Source organism: Homo sapiens, chromosome 12 (genome assembly GCF_000001405.40).
Source record: "Homo sapiens chromosome 12, GRCh38.p14 Primary Assembly".
Classification (NCBI taxonomy): Eukaryota; Metazoa; Chordata; class Mammalia; order Primates; family Hominidae; genus Homo; species Homo sapiens.
The window spans coordinates 22964976-22990936 of NC_000012.12; the positions used below are offsets into that span (position 1 = coordinate 22964976).

The 25961-nt window shown below is 37.1% G+C and overlaps 1 long non-coding RNA gene across 13 annotated transcripts in view; it reads left to right on the forward strand.

The window, feature by feature from the left end:
• The window catches only part of LINC02955 (long intergenic non-protein coding RNA 2955), a 491729-nt gene that overhangs the window by 265117 nt on the left and 200651 nt on the right, over positions 1-25961 (forward strand). For all 13 annotated transcript variants that reach the window (NR_187514.1, NR_187512.1, NR_187515.1 and 10 more), the window contains 3 exons: positions 4388-4490; positions 5861-6119; positions 7401-7493. This is a non-coding gene — a long non-coding RNA (long intergenic non-protein coding RNA 2955). The remainder of the gene's footprint in view (positions 1-4387; positions 4491-5860; positions 6120-7400; positions 7494-25961) is intronic.

Sequence of the window (25961 nt, forward strand, 5' to 3'; positions counted from 1 at the left end):
TCTGGTGCAATCCTGTCTTTTTTTTTCTTCTACAGAACGCATGTTACATTCTTTAAAATTGTGAAAAAGATTGTAAAAAGGACAAGTGATGACAAAACTTGAACTGTGAAATATTGTTATAGGGAGGAGATAAAAAGAGAATAAGATGTTTCGGGCTGATGATTTTAGATCTTGAAGTTTGATTTTCATAATCTATTGTATCTAGCTTGAGATGGTTGTTTAAATAGGCAGTAGGAGGTTTCTTTTTTTTCTTGTTTAGCATTCTATGATTTTTCCCATCTTGTAATAATCAGGGAATCATGAATATTATACACTTCCAGGCCTGCTTCTAAATAGCAAAAATTTGATTCCTCTCCCTTGCCCCCGTGTTGGTAACTCATGATACTTCCTAAGGATGTTTTCTTCTCTACTGAAGTCTTCACATGTGAAGAAAATTGCCTTAAAAACCCTGGGCTCTGGAGGAATACGCCAAGTATCTCCAGTAGAATCTCCAAGAAGTGAGGCATGCTTTTTGTGCATGGTACTTGCTTTTGTTTGGTGTACATGGAAAGAGACACGATTTCTTTCCTTAAGGATTTACAATGTAATCAGGCAGATCAAACATGAAGAGATGAACGGACTGAAAAATCTTCTCCTGGCAACATGAATAGGAACAAATTTGTTAAAAGAACGCAGGGTAAGGAAGAATCACATTTGGTGTGACCTGTGCTCTGATGGACAGAGGGCGTGGATTAGCTCTCCAGCCTCTTCTCACCAAATTCCACCAGGCACGCCATGTACCGAGCGCTTTCATTTCCTTGAATATACTCACTAGTCTCTCACGCTGTGCTTGTACTCATGTTGTCACAGTTGCTTCGAATGCTTTCCCTCACATTCTGCCTGTTGAAACTCTACTCCTCAGTCATTTCATTCTGCATGTCTACGCTAGAGCTGATCCTAGTCCAACTTGTGTTGTAGTCACTTGCATATGTGTCTTTCTTTCACACCACACTCTGAGTCTCTGGAAGGTAGGATTGTTCTTTTATTTAGCTTTATTTCTCAGGCACTTAATAGAGTTCAATACATATTTAGTAAAGTATATGGGATTGAATTATTTGTGAAGGAGAGTAGTGGTAGCTCCAAAATGATCTCGGAGGTAGAAGTGTGAGAATCTGCGTATCTGTGTGTGCCATAAGAAGAAATCTGAAGAGGAGGTTATAGGTTCAGTATAAATGCCAGTTTTGAAGGGATCACAGTGGAGGTATCCCATACTGTACACATGGGACTCAATAAATTTGAGACTGAGCCTGGGATACAACATAGATGTTGATGATTAGGGAATATGATCTTGGTTTTCCATGGAAACTTCAAGGTTTTAACTTTAAGAAAAATGGTTTTCTTATATTTGATTTCATGATTCCAGAGGTAAATGGAATACCGTTATGCTATTTCCTTTAAATAGCCTTTCCTAGTCTGTAGTGATGGTATTTTAAATAAAATTACTGAGAGACATGAAAGTTAGCTTTTTTTCTGGTGAGATTTGGGCTGTATTTTTTTTGGAAGAGGTAAACATGGAAGAACAAGAGGAAACAAAGAAAAGCAGAGGAACTAGTGAAGTATGAAATTGAAGTATTGACTTATGTCTGGTTCTTTCTCAGAGTTCCTTTCTTGTTTTTTCTGCTTTATCCCTTTTTATATTCAAGACAGCTTCTATCATTAGGCACTAATGGCCCAATGTAACTGAAGGAGCTGCCCAAACTTAGCCTTAAATAACTTTCTTTTAGGACTACTTTCTTGATATCTCTTCAGTGTTATTACAAGATGATTGAACATGAGTAACTGAAAACTTGCCTTCTCTGAAAATAGTGAGTTTCAACAGCGTGATGTCTCAAGTTTCTTTTCCTTCTAATAAGAAAACCTCCAGCCCCTCCCTGCCATCACCTGCACCTACCTCCCTGAGTCAAAGAATTGCTCTCAAAAACATTTTCTTATCTAGTTGAAAGACTAGGGAAATAGGCCATTCCTCTGGTGGAGATGCTCTTCTCCCTGGGTAAGAGGACACATACCTGACCAATCTTTCTATATTGGTTGGTCCATTCCCTGAAGCTCTCTGAGCTTCCAGGGAGCTAAGATGATTTTGGCTGCCTTTATGTACTTTACCTAATGAGCTGACAAACTGGTTTCATCTTAGTGGGTATTCTTTGGACTAACTAAAAAAGGATGATTTAATTACCTTTATTCTTTTTCAAATGAGAGATCTGCATGCTGACTCTTCCACATGAGTGCTTTTAAATTTTCAATACAGGTTATTCAAATTGCTTTGGTTTCTTATGCACTTGGTGGAAAATCCACTCAGATTCACCTTTTTAAAAAAATGCAATCTTTGGCAGTACTGAGTTTTTCCACATTTCAAATCAAAGTAAGAAAATGCCTTTGGGATTCCTGGCTTCAGAGAAGAACTAGGGCACATTCATTCACATACAAGAGCCAACATTTCAGTAATGCTAATGAATTTCCCTGACTAGAAACTATTTTTGTGGCAGTAAATATTACTCTCTCATTCCTTATTCCAATGCAGATACCTATTATCAATTTTGAAGACTCATTATCAAAGAAAAAGATTTATTTTGCAACAAAATTGAGTAGGGATGCAATTGAGGTGATCAGATGGCTCCTGGATTACAGTAAGCCATTATCTGACTGTCTCTTATAATTCTCCACAATATACACCATTGGAAACATTGTTTAACAGAACATTAACTGCAGTCTTGCTACTGCCAAGTGTTCTAGATGCATCCAGGTAGTCTATAATTAATGCACCTGCAGAGTTGCACAAAGAACTTCATACACTGTCCATTTCAGTGGAGAGCGGCTGGAATGGCACCTGCACAACAGGTGCAGTGCAGGACAAGACAAAAAGGCCAAGTTCTAACTAGAAAGCTTAATCCCTTTCAGTATGGACTGACTAGCTTGAGGTTTCTTTAGAAACAGCAGTATTTTATTATATGAAAGAGATGGAGTAGGATGTGGTAAGGGTTAACAAGAAGATGGGGAACCTAATGCCTGAGATCTGGTTATATTACTGGGAAAATTAATAGTATGTGTAAGGAACACTGAGACAAGGGGATTAGGAAATGGGAAAAGGGCACCAGGCCTAGGGTGCAAGAGGAGTTTCCCACAAATGATTGCTAGCTTATTCGAATTTGTATTCTGCTAATCTGTATTCAGATCGACCACATACATAAGTTTTCAATAACCATCAAGAAAAATGTAAAAATATAACCCCCAATTCCTTATAGATGATATTAGTTTTATTTTTTACACCTAGTCCTTGGATTAGTGGTTTACGAATACAGCCCTTTATGAATTAGTTCAGGAGCGTTCATTTGAGAAACTTAAGATAATTTTGAAACTCTTTGGCATTCTTCATTTGTATGACATCTACACTGTGTAGGAGGTTTCATTTTGTTTAATCCTCACATTAATTCTAAAAAGTAGGCTTGGAGAGTGTAATTGGTAATACCATAGGAATAAGGAGGTCTAAGAGAGGTCTATGTGAATTCAAAGCCAGTGCTCTCCAATCAGAATTGTACCTCTCCCCTTGGTTTCCTAGGTTCTGGCCACATGAGCTCTCCTTTCCTCAGTGCACTGTCCAGCTCATCCACCCTTAGGCCTGTGTATTTTCTGCTTTCTCTGTTTTGAACACTTTCCTCTGCCCTTCAAATACCTAGATCTTTCACTCATTCAGATGTCAGCTGAAATGCCTCCTTTCTGTAGATTGCCTTTTCTAAAACCTGCATCACTGACTACCAAATCTTCCTGTTTTATTGCCTTTTACAACACGGAGAATCTGAGATCATTATCTTTATATGTATATCGTCTGTCTTCCTTCACATGAACGTAGGTTCTCCGAAGGCAGGAATCTTGCTTGTCTTGGCCATTGCTTCCCCCACTGCCAGCTATGACAGAGCTTGCCATGTAATAGGTGCTAAAAAAATTACATATGGCGTTAATAAAATGTCACTCTAATTTCTGGAAGGTAGGTTGACATTCAGAGTAGTGAAAATCTATTAATGAAAGGGCCACCTTGCTAGTAGATATGGGATCAACTTTCACTTCTGACTTTGGAAATAAAGATAAACTTGGATGAGAGTGAAGGAAGGATGAGATAAGAGAGAATGACAAGAAATTTACAATGAGGAAGATACAAAAATAAAAATAAGTAATACAAATAATATTTATATTCAACAAATGTTTATTGTCTACTAGGATAGGATTCCATACATCTGTTTTATACCTTCTGTTCTATAGCACAATTATTAAAAATGTCCTCTTCACCCTTAAAAGTATTCCTACTTGGATGATAAAGTATACGCTCTCCTTAACTATGGGCTCTTCTCTGTTCTAGGCAATGAGGACGTTGCACAAGACAGTCCCTGATACCCAGAGTTTACTGCCTAAGAGAGGATACATCCTTCAAACCAATAATCTGCTAATAGCAAGATCCAATAGTAAGAAGTTCTTTGCTTTTTACTTTTCAAATCACTTTTATGTACCTAATCTCATTTGATCCTCCCATCAATTCCATGATGGAAAATACTTATAATTGGCTTTTAAAGGAAGAGGAAACTGTTGCTGGGAAGTTGAGTGACTTGGTCAAGGCTAATTAGCAGCAGAGCCAGGACAAGAACTCAATAGGAAAATGCCTGCATTCTAGGGAGACTTTAAACTTTGCTCCAAAGAGTGAAGGAGTTAGAAAAAATGCTAATTTTTATCTTACCTAATGAGGCTTAGAGTCTTTCCAGACATTTTTATAATTCCTCTCGTTGTTATCATCTTGAGGCCGACTTGAGGCCAACTCAGTGCCACCTCTGCAGATTTTTCTAGTGGAAAAAGATTATTGTTTTGGAAAGGATTTCCTACGTACTTATTTTCAGTAGCATTGTTTTGCCTCGTTCAAACTAAAACCAAAACTCCAGTTCTCCAGTTTGCAGAATAAGCAGCAAATAAATGTAGCTAAGAGCTATGGTACTGGTCTGCAAAGATGAGCCCCCAGTGAATCTTGCTTCCCAGTATTTACACTGTTGTTGTGAAATCCCTTCTTCTTGAATCTGGGCTGATTCTGTGACTTGTTTTCAACTAATAGAATGCAATGGAAGTGATGCTGCATCCCTCCAAAGCTAAGTGAATAGAAACTTTGCTACAGTGTCTTGGGTCTTTTGGATTGCTCACATGGGGAAAACCATGGGATATGTAAGATATCTGACTAACCTGAGACCATGATACTGTGAGGAAGTCCAAGCTACCTACACTGAGAGGCCACATGGGGAGAGAGGGAGAGGGCTAACCAACTCCCAACAGTTCCAGCCGTCTTTGATAAGGTGCAGGCTTGTGAGTGAAAGGGCATTTTAGACATCCAGCCCAGTTTTGTCTTCATTTGATTCCAGCCCTCGCTGCCATGTGATTATAATTTCTTGAGAGACCCCAGTGAGGCCACTCACTGAGCCAAGTTATTCTGCAGAACTGAGAAAAAAATAATAACAAAGTGTTGGATTTAGCCACTAAGTTTTGGGGGGGTAGCAATAGATATCAGAACAATAGAATAGAACCTAGAGTCAGTTGCCTTGGGTTAATTCCTGCCTCTTACTAGCTTTGTGTTCTTGGGTAGATTACCTAATACTTTGTAACTTAGTTTCCTCATTTATAAATGGGTGTCATAACAGCATTTACTTTATAGGTTTGTTATAAGGATTAATTTAATTTATTATATGGAAAGGAGAGTTTGGCACTAGAAAGCATTCAATAAATAGCTATTATTACTATTAACTATATCTGTCAATAAATCTTATTAATCCGTTCAAATCTGTGTTTTTCTTAAAAGGCTTCATGGATATTGAAAGAAACTGAGAATCAAATTTGCATACTTCTGAGTCACTTGGAAACAAAAAACAAGTACAGTCTTAGATTCTGAGGGAACAAAAATTAAAAATCACATTAGGAAGAGAATTCCTAATGTAGGAACTCATCCTGGAAGATTCTTCAGCAAAAGTACAGACAATAATAATAATACTCCATGAAGTTACCATCGATATTGAATGAATTAATGAATGTAAAAACCTCAAAACCCTGCCTGGCCCAGAGTAAGTACTCTGTGTCTAGTTTACCTATTAATACTGTACTATTATTGTCCTCTATCTCACAATCTTCTACCCAAGAGCCATCTCAGGATTTTCCCACCATTCATTAGAGACCAAATGGTCTCTGCAAATGCCCAGGCTCCTGATTCCTAGTTTTATATGGACTGCAAAGCGGCTCCTCGTGCTGTTTTTAAGTTCCTTGACCTCCATAAGCTCTTTTTAGTGATGCTCAGAAGCTGGAACGGTTGAGTTTCAGATATAGATTGGAGAGCTTCCTTACTAACTCCAATAAAATAGCTCAGAGTTTGGCTCTCACTTTTAAATACTATGCAGATGGCGCTGAACCCCAGCCAAACTGGCGGCAACTTGATTTCCTCTGGTGAGTGCTGGTGGGGTGTCTACAGGATGGCATTCATTCCCATCTCCCGTCCCTTCTTTCTCCTCTCTCTCCTCTCTCTCATACACACACACACACACACACACACTCATACTAACATTCTGTATTTTTCCTTCTAGCCTGAGTATTTTTTATAATGACATGACCAGCAATAATTAATAAAATCATTGGTTTCCTGCCTGAACTTGTACTTATGTTAGCTATCTCATCGTGTGGAAATTTTCCCTTCAGCGCCAGATCAATAGCGTCCCCTTTGTGATTCCCCACTGCCAGGAGAGAAAATGTTCGCAAAAGGAGATCTAAGGAGCTTCCTACCGATTTAGAAGAGACAGAAGAAAGGACACTCTGTGCCAGCTGTGAAAGAAGCTCTTATATGCTGATAGGAATGTTATGAAATATCTGTAAATTTGGAGCTTGTTTTCACGAGCCGTAAAACGTAACCGCATGGAGTGGATTTTTGAACACTCTTAAAATAAACATAAACTAGGCTTTGATAAAGGGACCCCTTTTTTGTTTGATTTACTGTTTTCCTGTAACAGTGTAATATTTTTGCATGCAGAAATGTTGTAGGCTCAAGAAAACATTAATCAAATAAAGTATGTGTAATATGACGCAGGCACACCAGATGTACGAAGGGCCTGCAAGTGAACATTCCGGCACTTGTGCTAGATAATAAACCTTTTGGCCCTCATACGCAACCCCTGAAAATGAAACTGTCTAGTTACCCACATTATATTGGGTTTCTGTATTGATTTTTAGGTTAACGTGAAAAAATTGAGTAGAATGTTATCTTATTTTGCTTTGGAATCAGAGAATATCAGACTTGAAATATACTTTTAGGGACCACTTAATATGACCTCTATCATTTGGTTTTTAAATATTTTTAGGCTTTGGAATGGGTTTGGATCTACCACTCAACTGCTTTATGACTTCAGACCAGTTATTTAAATTCCCTGAAGCTCAGTTTCCACATCTTTGAGGTAAGCATTCCAATTTGTACCTTGTTGTGATCTGCAGTATAGAAAGTACCCAGCATCCTGCCTCACATAAAATAGGTGCCCAGGAAATGGCAGCTATGATCATTTTCTCCAGTAGATGAAGCAGTCCAGAATTATATTGTGTCGACTGTTCTTTTTCATGTCTAAGCAAGATCTTGATGATTTAAAATTATTTATTTATTTTTGAAAGGAATAGTTTTATCAAAGTAACAAATGTTTCTTTAACAAATAGCATATAGTATTTGTCAGAGGACATACAATTCAAAACAACACTCACAGCTTTCCCCATGCTGCTTGCACAAAGGCAAAGTCAACCATTTTCATTTTTAAGTTCCCTATTGATTATCTTCATATCTCTAGATAATATTTTTTTTTACTTTTTAAAATTTCTAGATTCATCAACCTTATGCCACATTATTGAACACCTTCTGTGAAAGGTGCATATGTAGCTCACTGCATGTTGACTTCTGTCACTCCTGTTCTCAATGTTTGTTAATCACATTTTCATTATATATCATTATGTACTTATATTCTTCTGTTTGTTATATTTATAACTTTAAACTTCTATTTCTTGTTTCACTAAATTTTGACAATATTTCCTCACTCTCCAAACTTAATGATGGGAGTAATTTTGCCCCGACCTGCCACGTCCCATATTCTGTCAGCTGCACTTTTATTTTTATATTCTCGGGGTAGGTAATGTTTACAGTTTATCCCGTAATCATAGCCAAGAATCTTATTCCAGGCTTTTCTATGTTCACCTAAAAATTTAAAAACGAATAGTTAAATATATACATGCATAAAATAATTATATATATTAATATAATGTATAATATATATACTTATATATATATTATCTGTAAGTTTGTAAATATTATTCCCTCTTGGGCCAGCTCAGGTCCAATGTCCCAAGCCAGTAGGAGAATATTTCTAGCATCAAGATGAAGTGAATTTTCTTTTCTTGTAATCAATTAGATCAGCCATCTCCAACCTTTTTGGCACCAGAGACCAGTTTCATGGAAGATAATTTTTCCACAGATGAGGGTGGGGGTGGGGTGGTGAGGAGGATGATTTTGGAATGAAACTATTCCACCTCAGATCGTCAGGCATTAGATTCTCACAAGAAGCGTGCAACCTAGATCCCTCACATGCCCAGTTCACAACAGGGTTTGTGCTCCTATAAGAATGTAATGCCACTGCTGATTTACAGGAGGTGGAGATCAGGCAGTAATGCTTGCCCACCGCTGTGTGGGCAGGGGGCCTGGGGACCCCTGCATTAAGCCACATTTTTGTTTGCTTAATATTTAGTCTGAGAGTTTCTGATAAAAACATTCTGACATTTCATGAAGTTTTGATTGATCATTTCTGCATAATTTACTTTGTTTGAATCCTGAAGTTTATCTATGCTCTTATTAATTGTTTTTATCTGAGAGCTACTCTTTTCATTTTATGAAGCTTATCCTTTCTCCTCCTACTCTCCTTTGGCAGGGTTTCACTCTACAACATGCTGTATTGCCATTCCTCAGGATTTGTCTACTATTCTGGGATGAATCTATAGCTTACCTCTTTACTACACAGAAGTATATGTTCAGCTAACTTTCTGAGAAAGATGAAAGGGTTTAAATTTTGTAAGCCCATGCATATATGTAAATGTCTATAATTTCCCCTCATACTTGACTGAAATTTTAGTTGGGTATGGAATTCTAGGTTGGAAATAATTTTCCTTTGGAATTTTAAAGTCATTGCTTCATTGCCTTCTAGCCTCCATGTTGCTGCTGAAAGTCTAATGCTTATCATATTTTTCTTCCTTTGTAGTTACTTATTGTCTCTGAAAGACTTAGGATTTTCTATTTTTTTTCATTTGGATGTTCAAATTTCTCAAAAATCTGTTTAGGTTGTGAGCCTTTTATTATTTAATGTGCTGGACACTTAGTAAGCAAACTCCAACTGCAGACTTATGACTGCATTTAGTCTGGGAACATCTCCTTTATTAGTTCCTTGATCATTTTTCCTTCTACTTTGTCCATTGTTTCTCTCTAGGATGCCTATATTGCAAGTACTGAACTAGATATATATAGAGAGATAGATAAGTGTGTGCGTGTGTGTATGTGTGTGTAATTTTTTTCACTAATTTGTTTTCTGTTTGTTTCTTTGTTCTACATTCTGTAATATTTTCTTAACTGTATTAATTTTCTAATTAAAATTTTAAATTTCTCCAGTTAGTTTTCATTTCTGAGAGTTCTGCCGTGGTCTCTGATGAAACCTTTTTTATTGCAAACCATTCTTGTTTCATGGATGTAACATCTCTTCCATCTATTTGCTAGGTGTTGTATGTTTTCTTCCATTCCCTGAATTACCTCTGTTCATCTTAGTCTTTTTCTTCCATGCTACTAATTCTTCTCAAATATCTTGTTTTGCCCACTTATATTTTAAGAAGAAATACTATATATAGAATGGTGTGGGTTTCCTCTACTGTTCTATATGTAAGATATTTTTCCCATTAAGTCCCTCTAATAACTGGTGATTCTATGTGAAGTACAGTGGAATGGGGTGAGTCATGTCCTTTAGTGGAATGGGGTGAGTCATGTCCTTTAGAAGACTTCACTTTAGAATGAGTGGGCAAAAGCTCTTATTGACAAGTTAAGGACTCTCCAAATTCTAGAACTACAGCTACTCCAAGAATGAATATCTTCACTTGAATCCTCAGCTTTCTTCTGGCATTTTCTACCACTTATTTTCAGGACCCCTTACCCACCCTGCCCTCCCCACTCCCAATAACCTTTTTTTTTTGTTTTTTTTTTTTTGGCCTAGGAGTAAATGCCAATTGCCTGATGCAATAAAGATGCCTTCAATTCATTCTCAATGTTTCGCCTTATTTATAACTCCTTCCCTCCACAGAATTTTTGCAATTCTGAACCTAGGGTCTGTCTATTATTTCAACAGCTCAGCATCCACCTTCTCTGCAGATTTGAAGACAGGACAGTCTTGGGTATAGTGTTTCTCCATTGTTTCATTTTTCAAAAAAAACTTCTAGGTTATACGACAATATATTCTCAGGGAATATAATTGGCCACAGTGTGTGCCCAATTTACTTTCTTGAACTAGAACTAGACTTAGGGGTTGAAAATTTTAACACTTACCCAGTTCTTTAAAGGATGGCTCAAACTTAGTCACCTAAATTGCAAACTTGTTACCAGGTTAAAGAACTCTAATTTTTAAATCTCATATTAAAAGACATATGATCAAAACAATTTTTTTCACTTTCTTCAGCTTTTTGAAGCATTATTTAAAAACTACAATGTATCAATATGGATCTATAAAACAAGTTGAAATCTTTACAGAGAAAAAATATTGATTAGATTGTCAAGTCCTATATATCAATAAGCATAACCTGAACTTATCTAAATCTATATCTAGTTTATTTTCATAAGAATTCTCACATAAGAATTGTAATGCCTGACAAAATTACCATCAACTGCTGAAATCATAATGGTAGGTTGTATTAAATTTGAAACTGGATAAATACTAAAAGAAACAAGCTCCATTGGCCAAATCTACATAACTGAGTTAGGTAAAATACTTACTAAGCACATGTATGAATGAATGCATATAAGAAGCAATATGAATTTGTCATTTTCCACTCCTTGCTCCAGTTAAGAGACAAGCAAATTTTAAAATTGACTTATGACTTTGTTAGAAAATGTAAGCATTATTTGGAAATCTCAGTATTTCACAAGAGAAACTTTTATGTGACATCTGAGTTAAACTTTTCTAGCAATAGCAGTTCTCAAAAATATCTGGCCAAACTTAACTTACCTCTTCATGATAATGGGGCCTGAAAAAGAAAATAACATATGCTCTTTAAACTTCTAAATTAACATACTATTTTCTCTTGTTCTTTAGATGTTAACCACTTTGTTAATTAAAACTCCCAAAACCTGAATTGTTGGGTGGCTCGATTTTCCATAGAAAAGTTTCCAAGATTGAATTTTCTGAAAATGGCATCTAAGATTACCTGGATCTGGTTCATGTTGTTCATTTTACAGATAGCCAAGGGAGAGATTAGGTTAAAGTTATTGCCCCTCAGTTACACAATAATTCAGCAAGACTGGAAATCTGTTATTTAGGAAATAATTTTAGCTTGCCGCTGAGGTTACAGAGCAATGAATGGCTCCTTTCTGGATTCTTAAAGTTTACCCAGCACATTTATGTGGCCATTTTTTTTGCCTGGTGTACTTATGTATGAGTTAAATCAACATGACTGTATCACGTTTACATTAAACCTCTTTCCTTATTTCTCCATCTTTTAAAAGTATTCTTTCTTTCTTTTATGATCTCTGTTTTCGTTTTCATTTCTTTTCTCTGCTGTCTTCATTTAGCTGTCACCTCTGCTGAAGACAGTTCAAATGTTTCTGTGTACATTTTTTCACCAAGAAGAAAAAATAATAATTTGGAATTAAATATTTGTTTTGATTTTAAATTAAAAACGAGCTTTTTTAAAAAAAGAGTACTTTGTAAGTGATAAAGTACTATGAGAATGTCACATATTAGTATTAAATAGGGCTTAAGTGACATAATCCAAATCAAGTTTGTATATGAAAATATCTTCATGTTACATCTTTAGCTTGATTTTGTGATTTAAATATTACTATGGATTTAAAATCTCTAAAGGATAACAAAGAGTACAAGGAGAATACTTAATAGTTATATTAGATATAACATACTTAATCATTCTAACACATATAATTGTATGTTGGATAAGAAATATATACTTTAATTCCATATTATGAATAGGTAAGCAAAAACTTTCTTAAAGGAAAATAATTTCTTTAAGTGTAGAAATGTTGTTTTGATCTTTTAATCCAAATTCTTTGATAATTTAGACTTTTACTATTGCCCAACTATTTTTATTTAATACTGTGATGACCTATAAAAACCACTAGTTTTATGGAAAAAATGTATTTTTAAATATAAAGAGAACTTTATAGGAATTTTTTCTTTTAAATATGTTAATTTCTTTTAAAATAGGACATTTTAAAAAAGTAATTCAAATATGTAATCCCAAACTATGTTTTAAGGTAATTTTCAAGTTTCCATTCTGGGAATTTTGGATACAGTTATAATGATAAAAAGCACATTCTCTTCACATATTTCTTTTAGACACTAGAATTGCTGATTTATTCAATTTCCAGAAAAATCATAAAATACTAAAGTGAAAAGATATTCCACAACGGTTTACATGTCAAGTTTGACATAAGCCACAAAGGTCTTTCTCTTACAAAGGTCTCCATACCTGAGCATTTCAAATACAACTTATTTATAAGATGGAGAAACAGACTGCAGTAAGTACAAATAGTAGAAACAACACAAATAGAACTTGAGCAAATGAAAAGATAACCTCTAAAGACAATACCTGTGGGCAAACATTGTCTGCTTCTGTTACATGAAGCAGTCCTATCACCAGGCTGGGGAAAAACCTGGTGATTTTTCCAGGGCAGAGGCATGGTGCAAAAGGAAGAGCAGGAATCTAGCCTGGACAGGGACCCATGCCCACCGTTTTCCCCATGGGTGTGGCCAAATCAATGAAATGGACCAACTCTCAGTTTCCTCCTCCGAAAAATGTGTTGAATATCTAACGGGTCCTAACAGGTCTGTGTCTATTAAATAAGAAAATACTTCATAAATCGTTTGCCTAACTATAACGGGCAAAATGTATGCAAAGTATTACTAGAAAATCTTCACTGTAACAATGGAGTTAAAGAGAAAGGTGAAGTATAGCAAATAAAAAATGAAATTAGGGAAGGTAAACCATTTTTAAATTAAAGTGATTTTTGACATAATTTTGGTTCATAAACACATGTGGGTTTAGTTTTCTTTTAGACACAGCATAGTGGTAGAGTTCATTATAGATTTTGATTTATCATTCGATTCATAAATTTTCTTGAATAAAATTACTTCTTGTTTATTCTTGCATAAAGGAAGAACTACTTGGGAATATCTTCATACTTTTCTGCCAAAAGCTACTCAGGAGGCTGAGGTGGGAGGGTCGCTTGAGCCTAGGAGGTTGAGGCTGCAGTGAGCCCACCAGTGTGCTCCAGCCTGGGCGATAGAGGGATACCCTATCTCAAAAAAATAAAAATAAATTAAAAAAAGAAAAAAAGAAAAAAGAAAGAAAAAGAAAAAAAGAGAAAATAAATGTGATTAAGATACTGTGTTTTGAATTGTAAATTTTTTTTCATTTCACTTGAGAATTTCTAAACAAAGTGTCCTTCATTTGCTGTGCTGAGACAATCTAACCATGGCCTGCATTGATTTTGGTGATTGTGGCTCTCCTTGCCTAGATATATAGAAGCCCAATAAAATTTGGTGGCATGTTTCTGTTGCCCCATCTCCAAAATGGCAATGCCCTCTGTCATCCCAAATTATTGTGCTGTGGTCCAAGACCCAATGTAAGTTAGGTTCTACCTAGAAGCAGCATCTTTCTGCATAGTTACTAGATAGACATGGCCAGTCAAGCAAAGAGATAGGCATAAAATATAAGAAACATGTTTAAATTTTCATTCCTAAGGCAGAATAGAGCTGCCACATGGCAAAGTTCCAGGTGAGTCCGCCTGGAATTGAGTAATGTGGTGGTGCTGACTAAGTAGAAGGGTATCTGTTTGGGGGCAGCCTGTACATTGGGAGAGGACTGGCTCTTTCTCCTCTCTTTACTACATGGCCCATTCCTACCACACTACTCTGTGCCATGTGGACCACATTTGTTGACGTGGCTGGCCAGATGCCTGCTGTTGAAAGCATGTCCAGCCATGTGTCTCATCCTCACCCACCACTTTATTTTTGTTGCACTTTCAACCAGATTTTGTGGCTAATGAGGATATAAACACTACGGTAGGGGAGATGCCAGTGGACTACTGTGCTTTTTCTTGTGAGCATTTTTTTAAAAATTAATATATTTTACACACTTTTCTATTTATGCCAAAGCTGCATGATATTTAGAACGCGCTTTGAAGAAAAAGAAGGTATAAAGAAGAGAGGTCAGGAAGGAGGACTTCTGGAGACATAAAGCAAAGGAATGACATTTGTCGCTATTGATTGTTTCCCATGGCTGTCTTGCAGATTCTTCATTTTCCTTCCAACCATCCTTCTCTCAGTCCCACCACCCTCAGTTATGCATTCGTGCACTCACTGCATATCCTGTTCTCCAACACTCACTTTCATATTAAGCTCCCTTGATAGGCTATAAGTCTCGTAAAAATCAACTGTTTTTCAAATAACCTAACTGTGTAATACTTGTTTTATCCAACACATATTTGCACAAAGGGGCTATCCCAGAATAGAAGCTCATTTAGTGAATGTGAAACTGATATTATTTTTAGTAACTTAATAGAAGGCTGAAGAAAGAATGGGTGCTCAAAAAAGTCATGTTGAATTGGATTGAATTGAATTGATAGCAGCTCAGAGACTAAGGACAGACATGACAGAGGATGGATGAACCAGTCTAGGAAGCTGAAGAAACTGGCAGGATATGAGCAAAGGCATGATCAGACCTTAAGAGAACAAAGGGAGGACGTGACACTTTGCTGCTGTATCAGTTCTCTCTCCTTTGTTACAAACCACACCAAATATAGTCACATAAACAACAACCATTATATTTGTTCACAATTCTATATATTAATCACATTGGCTAAGTACAGCTGGGCAGTTCTTTTGTAACTCTGGCTGGGGTCACTCATGTGACTACAGTCATCTGACGGCTCAACTGGAGCTGAATGGTCTAAATGGCCTCACTGCATGCCTAGCAATTGTTGCTGCCTCTTTTCTCATCCGAGCTTTTCTCATCTGTCTTTAGCAGGCTAACTCAGGCATTTTCACGTGATGCCTGCATTACCAGGGAACAAGCCCTAGTGCACAGGCACTTTTCAAGTCTTTGGTTATGTCATTTGGCCAATGTTCCATCGGCCAAAGCAAGACCCATGGCCAAGCTCAGAAGCAGTGTGGGAGGGAATGATACAAGGGTCTAGATGAAGGAGGTATCATTCATTAAGGATTATTACTATGCCAATCTTCCACAGCTGTTATATTGTGTGACAAAAGTTTTGTTGATTGTTGATTCTACTTCCCAGAGACTTCCTAGGACTTGGAATTAATATAGCTAAACTTTGAGTCCAACAAATTATGTCTTACGTAGTAGCTCCTCTCACTACCTTCTCAGTAATGTTTCTGAAAGTTCATTTTCAACAGCCATAAATTTGCATATAAACCTGGAATAAGTAGTAGCTCTCCTCTATGATATATATTTTATTAAATTGCATTAGAATGGATTACATTTTAGTGCATTCTAGACAGGGAAAATACAGTGGTGGCACAATTTGAAAGATTTAAATTGGCTGCCCACATTTGTTGGTGTGCATTTTTCCAAGCACGTACTGGAATGATAAGCACAAACAAAAACTTGGGCTCTTGGCCTTTTAAATGTCCAAGTTGGTCTTTTAATTGTTGATTACATAATTATGGTACTTTATCAACTAATCTGTCCAAATATCTAGTATACTTTTTGGCATTCTTTATATTTTTACTTAGCAACCAATCAAGAATGTGTTGAAATCCAAGAGAGAACTATTGAACAATGGGTCCATAAACCCTGCAACTGAAGGGAGTAAATAGTTTTACAGAAGCAAGTTCAATTGCTTTTCATTACATGTCTCTGGGTGGCCAAATGCTTGGGCAGAAAATTAAACTTGCTTAAGCTAGCCACATTTATACTTCTGTGACTGAAACACAATCTTCCAATTTGTGTTAAATTACTATTGTAAAATAATTTTATTATTTGCCAAGTGTTTCAGTGACATGAAAGGACAAATCAGCAAAGATCATTTATAGTTTAGTTCCCTAGCCACTCCCAAAAGGTTACCTGGAAGCTTGTTGATTCCTCCATGGACTGGATGGACTGGGAATGTATACGTATATAGATTCTCTATCGTCTTCCAAAACTTATATATTTAAAAACAAAAACAAAAAAACAGGACTATGACTGCTGGCCATGGTTGTGTTGCTTTTTCGTCCTTTATTTTTTCCTTGGCAAATATTATTCACTGACAGATCAAACTTAGGGGCTATGAATAGTTAGCTCCATATGCATGCAGAGTTCTTCCTAAACCAACTTATTTGTTGTGCCAGATGTTATTATGCTTCTTGGAATGTAAGCTTAAAAAGTGATCTTAGTATAAGTTAATAGACAACTCAGTGAGCAGGTGTTTCATTGACATGAGGGAGTGGGTATATTTAACATATGGGAAGAATACGAATAACTGTGGCCAGAGAGCAGACTGTGATAGATTGTGAAAAGAACTCCAGTTCTTACCCCTTCCCTGTTTCCACATATTTTACAATGTTGACTTTGCAGCTGCTGCCATCAAGAGGCAGAGCCTCTTCCTCACCCTTTAAATCTGGACTGACTTTGTGACTTGCTTTAGTAATAGAATACAGTGGATGTATCCCTATGCCGGTATCAAGCCCAAGTTTCAAGAGGCCTTGCACACATCTTTCTGTATGGTACCCCTTCTCTGTGGGATAGCCTGCCGAGTGAGGAGAGACCACCTGAGACAGAATTGAGCCATTCCAGCCAGTTCACTGAGTTAGCCTAGACCAATCAGTCCTTAGCTGACCTGTCAATTTGATAGTGTCAGGAAGCAGAGAAATTCTAGGCACACAGGGGTGGGTCCCTGGCAAATTCTAGGCGCACAGGGGTGGGTCCCCAGGTCCCTGCCCTCAAGCCGAAAAGCCTGAGACCACAGCTCAAAGTGAGAACTGACATCCCTGTTTACCGGCTCAAATGTTGCCTTTTTCTAAACCACCCATGGCCCACCCTGCCCCCATTCTGTGCCTATAAAGACCCCAGACTAAGCCAGCAGAGAGAAGCAGCTGGACGTTGAAGAGAAGTGACTTGACTTTGGAGGGACAGCTTGATGGTGTAACTTTGGAGAAGAATCTGGCCGGAGATGACCAGACTTCAGGGGAAGACTACTTTCCCGCCCGATCCCTTTTTCAACTCCCCTTCTCGCTGAGAGCCACTTTCATCGGCAAGAAAATCTCCCACATTTACCATCCTTCAATTTTTCGTGTGACTTAATTTTTCCTAGACGCCAGACAAGAGCTCGGGAGCTACAAATGCGGATACAAAAGGGCCCACTGAGCTGTTAACACTTAAAATATGTTAACACTAAAAGAGCCCTGTAACACACCCTCTGGGGTTTCAGGGGTTGTGGGCACCCCCAGATGCTGCCACTGGGCCCACACAGAGTTTGCTCCTGCCGGCGCCCGAAAGCACTGGCCCCAGCTCCTGCACCCGCTCACCTGCACGCTCCCTCCCACGAGGGACGGAGCCTAGCGGGTTTGAGTGAGTAGAGTGTTCACTCCCGCCAGCTCCAAAACAGCCAGCTGGTTCCGGGGTATTCACACACTCCAGTTCCTGCCTCATTTGCTCACACTCTCCCTCCTCGGAGGAGTTGAAAGCTGCAGCTGGGTAAATGAGGCACCCCTGTCAGGGGTCACTCCAAGGGGTCAGGGAAATATCCTGCTTCAAATTCAGACTTATAAGCAAAGACAAAAATAAAATAAATGATCCAGGCACCTGGTCAACACATAGACTTATGAGAAATAATGAATGGTCGTTGTTTTAAGCCACTTGGATTTAATGTATTTTAAAGCGAGAGCTGACTGACACACCCTCTTTTCTCTCTAGCTGGTCTGGAAAGCACTTTCTTAGGGCCTTTTATAAAAAGTCAGCTGAAGAGTGTAGGCAGCATAGCTTACCCTAAACTGACTGATGATTCTCTTTCCTTGATTATACATTTAAGTGTTGGTTTGCTTGTATAAAATTTGTTTCTGAAGGCAGGGCACTAAATATTTTTCTTTAAATCCTATACAAATCCCAGCAAAATGTCTCTAATGTACTGGGGTTTGAAAATTTTTTTGCAGATTTTTAATTATATCCTTCTAAACATCTGTACATTTAGGAACATTATTGTTTAGCTCAGAGTAATAGGAGTCTATCATTTGGGTAAAGCCTCGATCTCAGACAGATTTGGCAAACCATTTTGCACATTCTCTGTGCCAATTACCCAGAGATAATGTGAAATGGGTTTGATAAAACACTTGGTTTCTACTTTTCCTCCAGACTTGTCCCAGCTAAGATCTTCTGGATTATCCAGCCAGATCAATGCAAGGCAAAGCTTCATTCTGCTTAGAGGTGCCATCAGTAATTTGCTGGAAAAGTAAAGGGTTAATCCCTGGGTAGGTGCTGGTTCTGACAGCTTTTATGTGTCATAGTCAATCACAGTGAAGTCATTGCATTCTGCATACTGCCAGCTTCCTCTGGTAACTGATGAGGCACTTTTGGTAATAGCATTCTCATTTCCAGACATTGCCTATTTTATCATTTGCAACTGTAGGATATTTTTGACATCCTTGTTTCTTTATGTAAGATCACAGTGACTTTATGTCAGTAAATTTGCCGATGCACACTGGTCTGCTATGACAGGAAAAGCACTAAATGGATGTAATTCAGTTTTAAATATAATTAGTAAATTACTGGGAAATATTTCTATTGTGGATATCCTTACATTTTGTCAAATACTCTAATCCATGTACTTAAAAAATAGCTAGTGTCAAGTGAATTTTTTATAAGAAGCAAGAATAGGCACGGGAAGTATGAAGTTGGTTTAGTGACAAGCATTTATTTTAAATAATGTCACTTTCTTTATAAACTATGAACATCAGATATATAAACGCACACATTAGATCTGTTTAATTATTTGTTATACTTCACATAGCAAAGCAGAAAGGTACAGGGAATTTGCTGCTTGCCTAGTTTGAGTATCCCTGAAGGTTAGATACTTTTATTTCTATTTTTTTAGAGGAGAATCTGAAATCAGAGAAATTAAGTTATTTTCTCTAAGCGACTCAGGGAGTAAGAGGCAGATACAGGATTTGAATGATGTATGTATAGTGTCAAAGCTCTTTACCTTCTGCCTCTCTGCCTTCTGCCTAATTCCAGAAGTCTCTGAGATGATCCTTTCTGCATTTGCTGTGACACTCATAGCCTGCCTGGCCTTCCCATTGCAATCCCTTGATCATACTTGCCAAGCTTGAGTTTTTCAGATTTTTGCTCCTGGAGGCTTCCAAGCTTAATTTTCCTTCTCCTGCACATTTATTTTCTGCACTTCAAACCCTCCTTGGTTTGGTCAATTCTGCTGTCAAACAAGTTTCAATTCAGACAATGTGGAGTATAAGGGTAGATTTTTCTGGGTTATTACTGGCTTGCAAAGAACTGCTTTAAATATACCCTAGTCCTTTTATGTCATAAGTGCCAAATCAAAAAATTCAGAAGTATGATTTCTTCCTGATGAATATATATATATACACACACACATACTATATATATATATATAATCAATTTCTCATACATACTGTGTAATAAAAGTCGCTCCTTTCTGGTACCTGATTGAATTAGGATAAACCCCCAGAGAAGCAAAATTAGAAGCAGTTTTTTCTTTTTAGAATTCCTTCCCCAGGGCAGCTATGTACAGTTGTGCAAGTTGCATATTACCTCTGGGGGACATTATTCACATTTATAGTATGATAGATTTTATGTATTGATTGGCAACAATTTTGAGGCAGATAACAGTAAAGAGTCTTGAGGAAGCTGCAGTTTACCTTAAATCTCACAAAGGTATCATTTGGGCCAGCACTGCCTGCCCGTTTTGAAGAATCATGGCAATAAAAGAACATCTTTAGACTCATTTTTCGTGCCCCCTCTTAATACCTAGATAATTTTCGTAGGTGTTAGTACTTTTTAAAATATGTATTATGTGGGCGGCTGAGGTGGGCGGATCATGAGATCAAGACATCAAGACCATCCTGGCCAACATGGTGGAACCCCATCTCTACTAAAAATACAAAAATTAGCTGGGCGTGGTGACATGTGCCTGTAGTCCCAGCTACTCAGGAGGCTGGGGCAGAAGAATTGCTTGAACCCAGGAGGTGGAGGTTGCAATGAGCCGAGATCGGGCCACTGCACTCCAGCCTGGCAACAAGGCAAGACTCCATCTCAAAAAAAAAAAAAAAAAAAAAAGTATCATGCACTAAGGTTTTGAGAAGTAAAATACTTTGAGTCAGGTGGACCAAGATATCCAGGTTGATATAACCATATATTATGGGGGCCTGGTAAGAAGCGTTGTGGGCATGTAAATGCATCAGGGTCTACCTAGAAGACAGCCAGAAAGACCTATGTTTGGGCAACTTTTGGGGCATCTGGATTCTTGTATAGAAAAAGGAAAATATGGTAAATAAAAGAACTATATTTTGAATGTGAGTGCAAAGTTGTCCACCAAATACCTGTTATAGTAACCATTCTGGCTCCGTGTGTGTCTGTGTGTGTGTGTACGTGCGTGTGTGTGTATGTGTGTGTGATTACTACTGTTGTAAAATATTTAACTTTAGATAAGACTATCAGAAGATAAGAAGATCCCCATTCTAACTTTTTCCACTTTATTCACAGAACTGAAATAAAATTAGTGTTGCAAACCAAAGCTTTATTTTAGGCATAGTTTCTTTACAGTCCACGTTACATAGATTAAACAAAATGATCAGAAAGCTTTAAACATTTTTTTTCTTCCTTTGAGGTCAACACTAGGTTTGCCCAGTGGTCAGCTTTGCAAGCTATTTCACTCCTATTTTAATGGGCACATAAAGATCATTGCATTAAAATTAATTCCCATCAGGGTTTCCAAGTATTCTACCCCCAGTTGAGATTTTAGGAAAGCTGTGCCATTCAGAGGTTGAGAAGAAACCCAAAGAAATCATTATATCAGGTTGGAGTTAAGTGATTTCCACACAGGAAAAGTAATTGAAAAGTATATATTTTGCATAATGAAATAGATGACAAACTGGGCAAGCTGGTCTATTAATGAGCCTCCTGTAAAGCCAAGAAGCCACTGAAGCCAGGAGTGAATGCATAAAGAGGAATCTCTGATCTCAACTTTTAACAATCAATTTTAATCAAACCATTTGAGGCACTGAGTTCTTAGGACCCTATGACGGTGAGGGCAATTTGAAAGAAGAATAAAAGAAGACTTTTTATATGAATTGCAAAGTAACATAATCAACTTGGAGTTATGATCAGGAAAACTTAGTTTTACTTTGGATTCTACAGAATTCCACATTTATTAAGGCCAAGGCCACCTTGTCTGTTACATCTTCCCCAAAAATTAGTTTTCAGTGGTGAGGCTTCTGAATGGGGTTTCAGTTAAAAACTTAAAGAGGGCAGTTCTTTCTGGAAAGATCCACCCAGTATTAACTGAAGTAAAAGCAAATAAATTATTAAGGAAATGCAATAGTCAACTGCATAGGTAGACATTTAGGAAATATTATTCTTGCACTAGGTCATCAATAATATTTATTTGAAGATGTTCTCCTGCCAAACAAATATTTAGGTAAATGGCTTCTTCAAATATTTAACGATTAAAAATCTGTATTTCCTCATTTTTAAAGGGTTAACAAAATATATATATTGTCAGTAGATGTGTGATGTACTTTTATTCTGATTTATACCAGTTTGGCTGTACAATTATCCAAAATTCCTGGAGAATTTCCAGCTCTCCACTTCAGCTTGTATTGCTCATGTTGCCTTCTAGGAATGAACAGCTCACTAATGTAAAATGAAGTGCACCTTCAAAGAAAGAGTGTATCCAAACCTAACAGGCTGAAAATTAGTCATGTAGAGCTGTGGAATTATAGAACATGGTAGGTAGGGGTGTGGGTCTCTCTTCTCCTTTCTGTGAAACTAAGAATTTATAGTCCAACTGGTGGTTCTCAACCATGGCAATGACCATTAGAATCACCTGGGAGAGGTTTGAAATAAGAACTCCCCACCCCCAAAGATTTCTGCTTTAACTGGTCTGGGGTGGGGTCCGGTGCCTGTTTGTTTCAAACTCCCCCGATGATCCTAATGAGCAGCCAGTTGCAAACCACTCATTTTAATCTAAATGATCTCATTTTTCATGAATGAGTACAGAGACTGTGAAGGCGAGGCACAGAGCCATGACTGACAAAAGACAACATTCCTTAAAAGGATTGAAGATTCCTGCAGCCATAAAATCTCTTGTCCCTGAACTTACATTGTAAATATTAATGAGTGCGTCTCATTTCCTTTCATGTGAAAATGAGAAATAAGGCCTTAATTTGACAACTCTATTTTCCAGGAACTTGCTTTTCAAAGGATTCAAAATCCCATTTGATAGAATGATAGAATCTGTGAAAGCAAAGATTTTTGATTTACTACAACAGTGCCTGGCGTATAGTAGACACTCAATTAATATTTGTTGGATAAATAAATGAATGAATGCATTTATAGTTGACCCATTACATTATAGTTTTGAATGAGTAATCTGAAATTTAAGTAGTTTAGTGATGGATCAATAAAACTGCAAGAAAGTGTGATAAATCCTATAATTGACAAATTAAATACAATTGATGAATTAAATCACCTGGTTTTCCTCTCTTTATGATATCAAAGAATTTGGCTTTTTGAAACACTGACTCTGTTTTGGGACATGAGTCTCCTTCTCTGTTTAATCTATCTTTGTTTTGCTATTTTCCTTTTCTTTCTGTCCTCCTCCTTTCTCTTTCCTTTTCTTCCTCTTTCTTTTTCTTCTATCCTTTTGTCTTCAATGTCTAAAGCCAACCTTGGTGATTTCCCTTTTCCCAAACCTGCTCTTCCTTTTCAGTTTCCCTGGGTAATGGCCACATTCAGGCTGGAATCCCTGAATCACTCCACCCTTCAGCTTCTCCAGCCCACAGCCAACCAAATTGCTAAGAGTTCTTAATTTCTACCTGCTAATGCACACCATAATTCCCAGCTTCACTGGCTTGTCTCTTTTTCTAGGTATTCACACCTAACATTCCCTATTCTTCCAAGCTCTTTCCTCTCCAATTCAGCTCTATGCTAAAGAGTTTTCTTTTGAAAATGTAGATTTGTTTCTATGACTCCTCTGCAAAACTTTTTGATTACATTTACTCCTTGGATTCTTGGCTCCTTAGCATGGGGCCCAGCACCCTTTCTTATTAACCTAATGACCTGCCTCACTGACCCTGGCATCTATCCATTCAGGTTTTATTGTCACCATACCAAGTTGCTGGCTGTGACTGATGCCCTAGATCTTTGCTCATTGTAGAAATCCCTTTCTTTGACTTTTAAAGTTCTACTCACTATTGAAGTCCACATTTTGCCTCTTCTGGGAAACCTTTCCTGAACTTTCTTTTATCATTCATCCCTCTACAGTCTGTGACTCAATAGCATTTAGCTCTTTCTTCTATTATAAACCATGTTTATTCTGCCTTGTATAATGCATAGCAATTTATATGTCTGTCTCTATCACTAGATTGTACAGTCCTTGAAGGCAGGAACAAACCATGTCATTTATTATCAAATCTCTATTCCCTAGAGCATTTTAGCTGCTTAAGAAATCTTTTGTGTAGTTGATGAATGGTTATAATTCTGGAAGCTTTAGTCATCCTAGTAAAATTATGTGGGAGAAGTTTTTTGATTAAAGTTCAAAAATGACCCTAGGTAGGCAGTTATCCCAAACAGCAAATGACTGACTTGAAGTGAGGAGTCATTATCAGGAAGATATGTACCTGCTGTAATACCCTGTATTTGATATTTTATGTCTTTGAAGTAGTGCATAACAAAAATACTCTTCCAAACATTAATAGACAAAATGAAATTGTAGGCAAGAATCACCTTGCTGTTTGTTTATATGGAGAATTAACTCAATGGAGCAACAAGAAAGACAGACACGAAGCCTTGTGTTGAGAGCATCTCCAATGTATTCCCTTTAAAAATAGAATTTAAATCTATACCTGTACCTCTAATTACTCCTTATTGAATAATTCTTTAAAAACACTAGGAGGTATTATAATTTCTATTTTAGCTTTGGGAGACTGTAACATGACCAAAGTCATGTAGCTACAGTCTTACGTTGAATAAACACCAAAGTCTATGCCAAGTTACACCAAATCCCTCCCTGTATGTTTGTTGTCTTTGGATTTAATGTAGGACTTATCATTGTTAGAGGACATGTGCTTTAAAGGTGTTTTTCTCCTTTTAGTTATGGGCTCATAAAAAGAATTAAAATCATATATTGATTTAAGGTAAAATGTGGGAATAAACACTGTTGTGCTGATTCACTCATATTCTTCTATTGACATTCTTATTTGGCCAATAGGCCATACTTTGATCCTCTGGGGTAAGGGCACCTTCTGAGTCATGGGAGCTGAAGAAGCTGATTGACCTGCGTAAATTTTAAACTCATGACTTTGTTTTTCTCAGCCCTTTGTCTAAATGGATCCAGACAATGGATCTTTTATATTTACCATATACAGCTTCTTCATAGAACAAAGAAAGAGATAGCGAGAGAGAGTGCACTCTAATATGCTTATTAAATCAGAACATTCCACTCTTGCACTTTTTCTTTTTGATTCATGTCAAGCTCTCTATAGGATTAATTAGTTAAATATGGACACTTAGAGTCTTTTCTGAATTTTATTTTGTTATTATATAAGTAAATGTATTACCTGCCTTCATGAATCAGTATTTTGAAACAGCTCCTGTTTGATTTGACATTTTCTGAGTCTAAGGCCATCAAATTACTATTAATTCTAGACAAAGGGCACCAATTTTTCATTGTGCAGATCATAAATAATCCTCATGAATAGATTCTTTTTAAATCCTAAAAGGGGGCAAACATTTTCCCTGGCATTACACCACCTGAGTCAAATTTCATGTCAACTAGATGCCACTTTTGGGCATCATCTTAGCCAGCATATAATTATCAGACATGTAAATATGGCTTCACAGAACATGTAGGAATGTGAGTAAAGATGGAATAGAGGTAGGACCTTTGTTTGTCACAATATTCTAATTTAGTCTTTATTGAATTATCATTGTAATTAATCTTTATTTTATGTCCAGAGGGTTCTTACATAGAATTCAAGAGCCTAGGCTAGGAACAGAGAGAGAATAGAGACCTCAGAATCCAATCTCTTGTGAGTTCTCAAAAATAATTAAAAACATATATCTACGGATGGTAAGATGTGGAAATAATTATGCAACAGGAATTATTTCTTCAAGAGGGAGGAATGTGCCTTTTCTGCTAGTCAGGAAAAGTCCAACACAGGAGAAGATGAGCAACTTTGGTTGGATTTGAAGGCAGAAGGGCAGAGCTAGATTAAGGACTGGGTTGCCCAACCAGCTGGTCAGAGCACCACTGTTTAAGAGACTGTTAAAAAAAATCAGTGCACTCAATCAGAAACACAGCACCCTTCAATTTGTATTTCCATACACAGTTCCTTATTGGAAAAAAAAAAAAAAAGATAGAATCAGTACTGTTT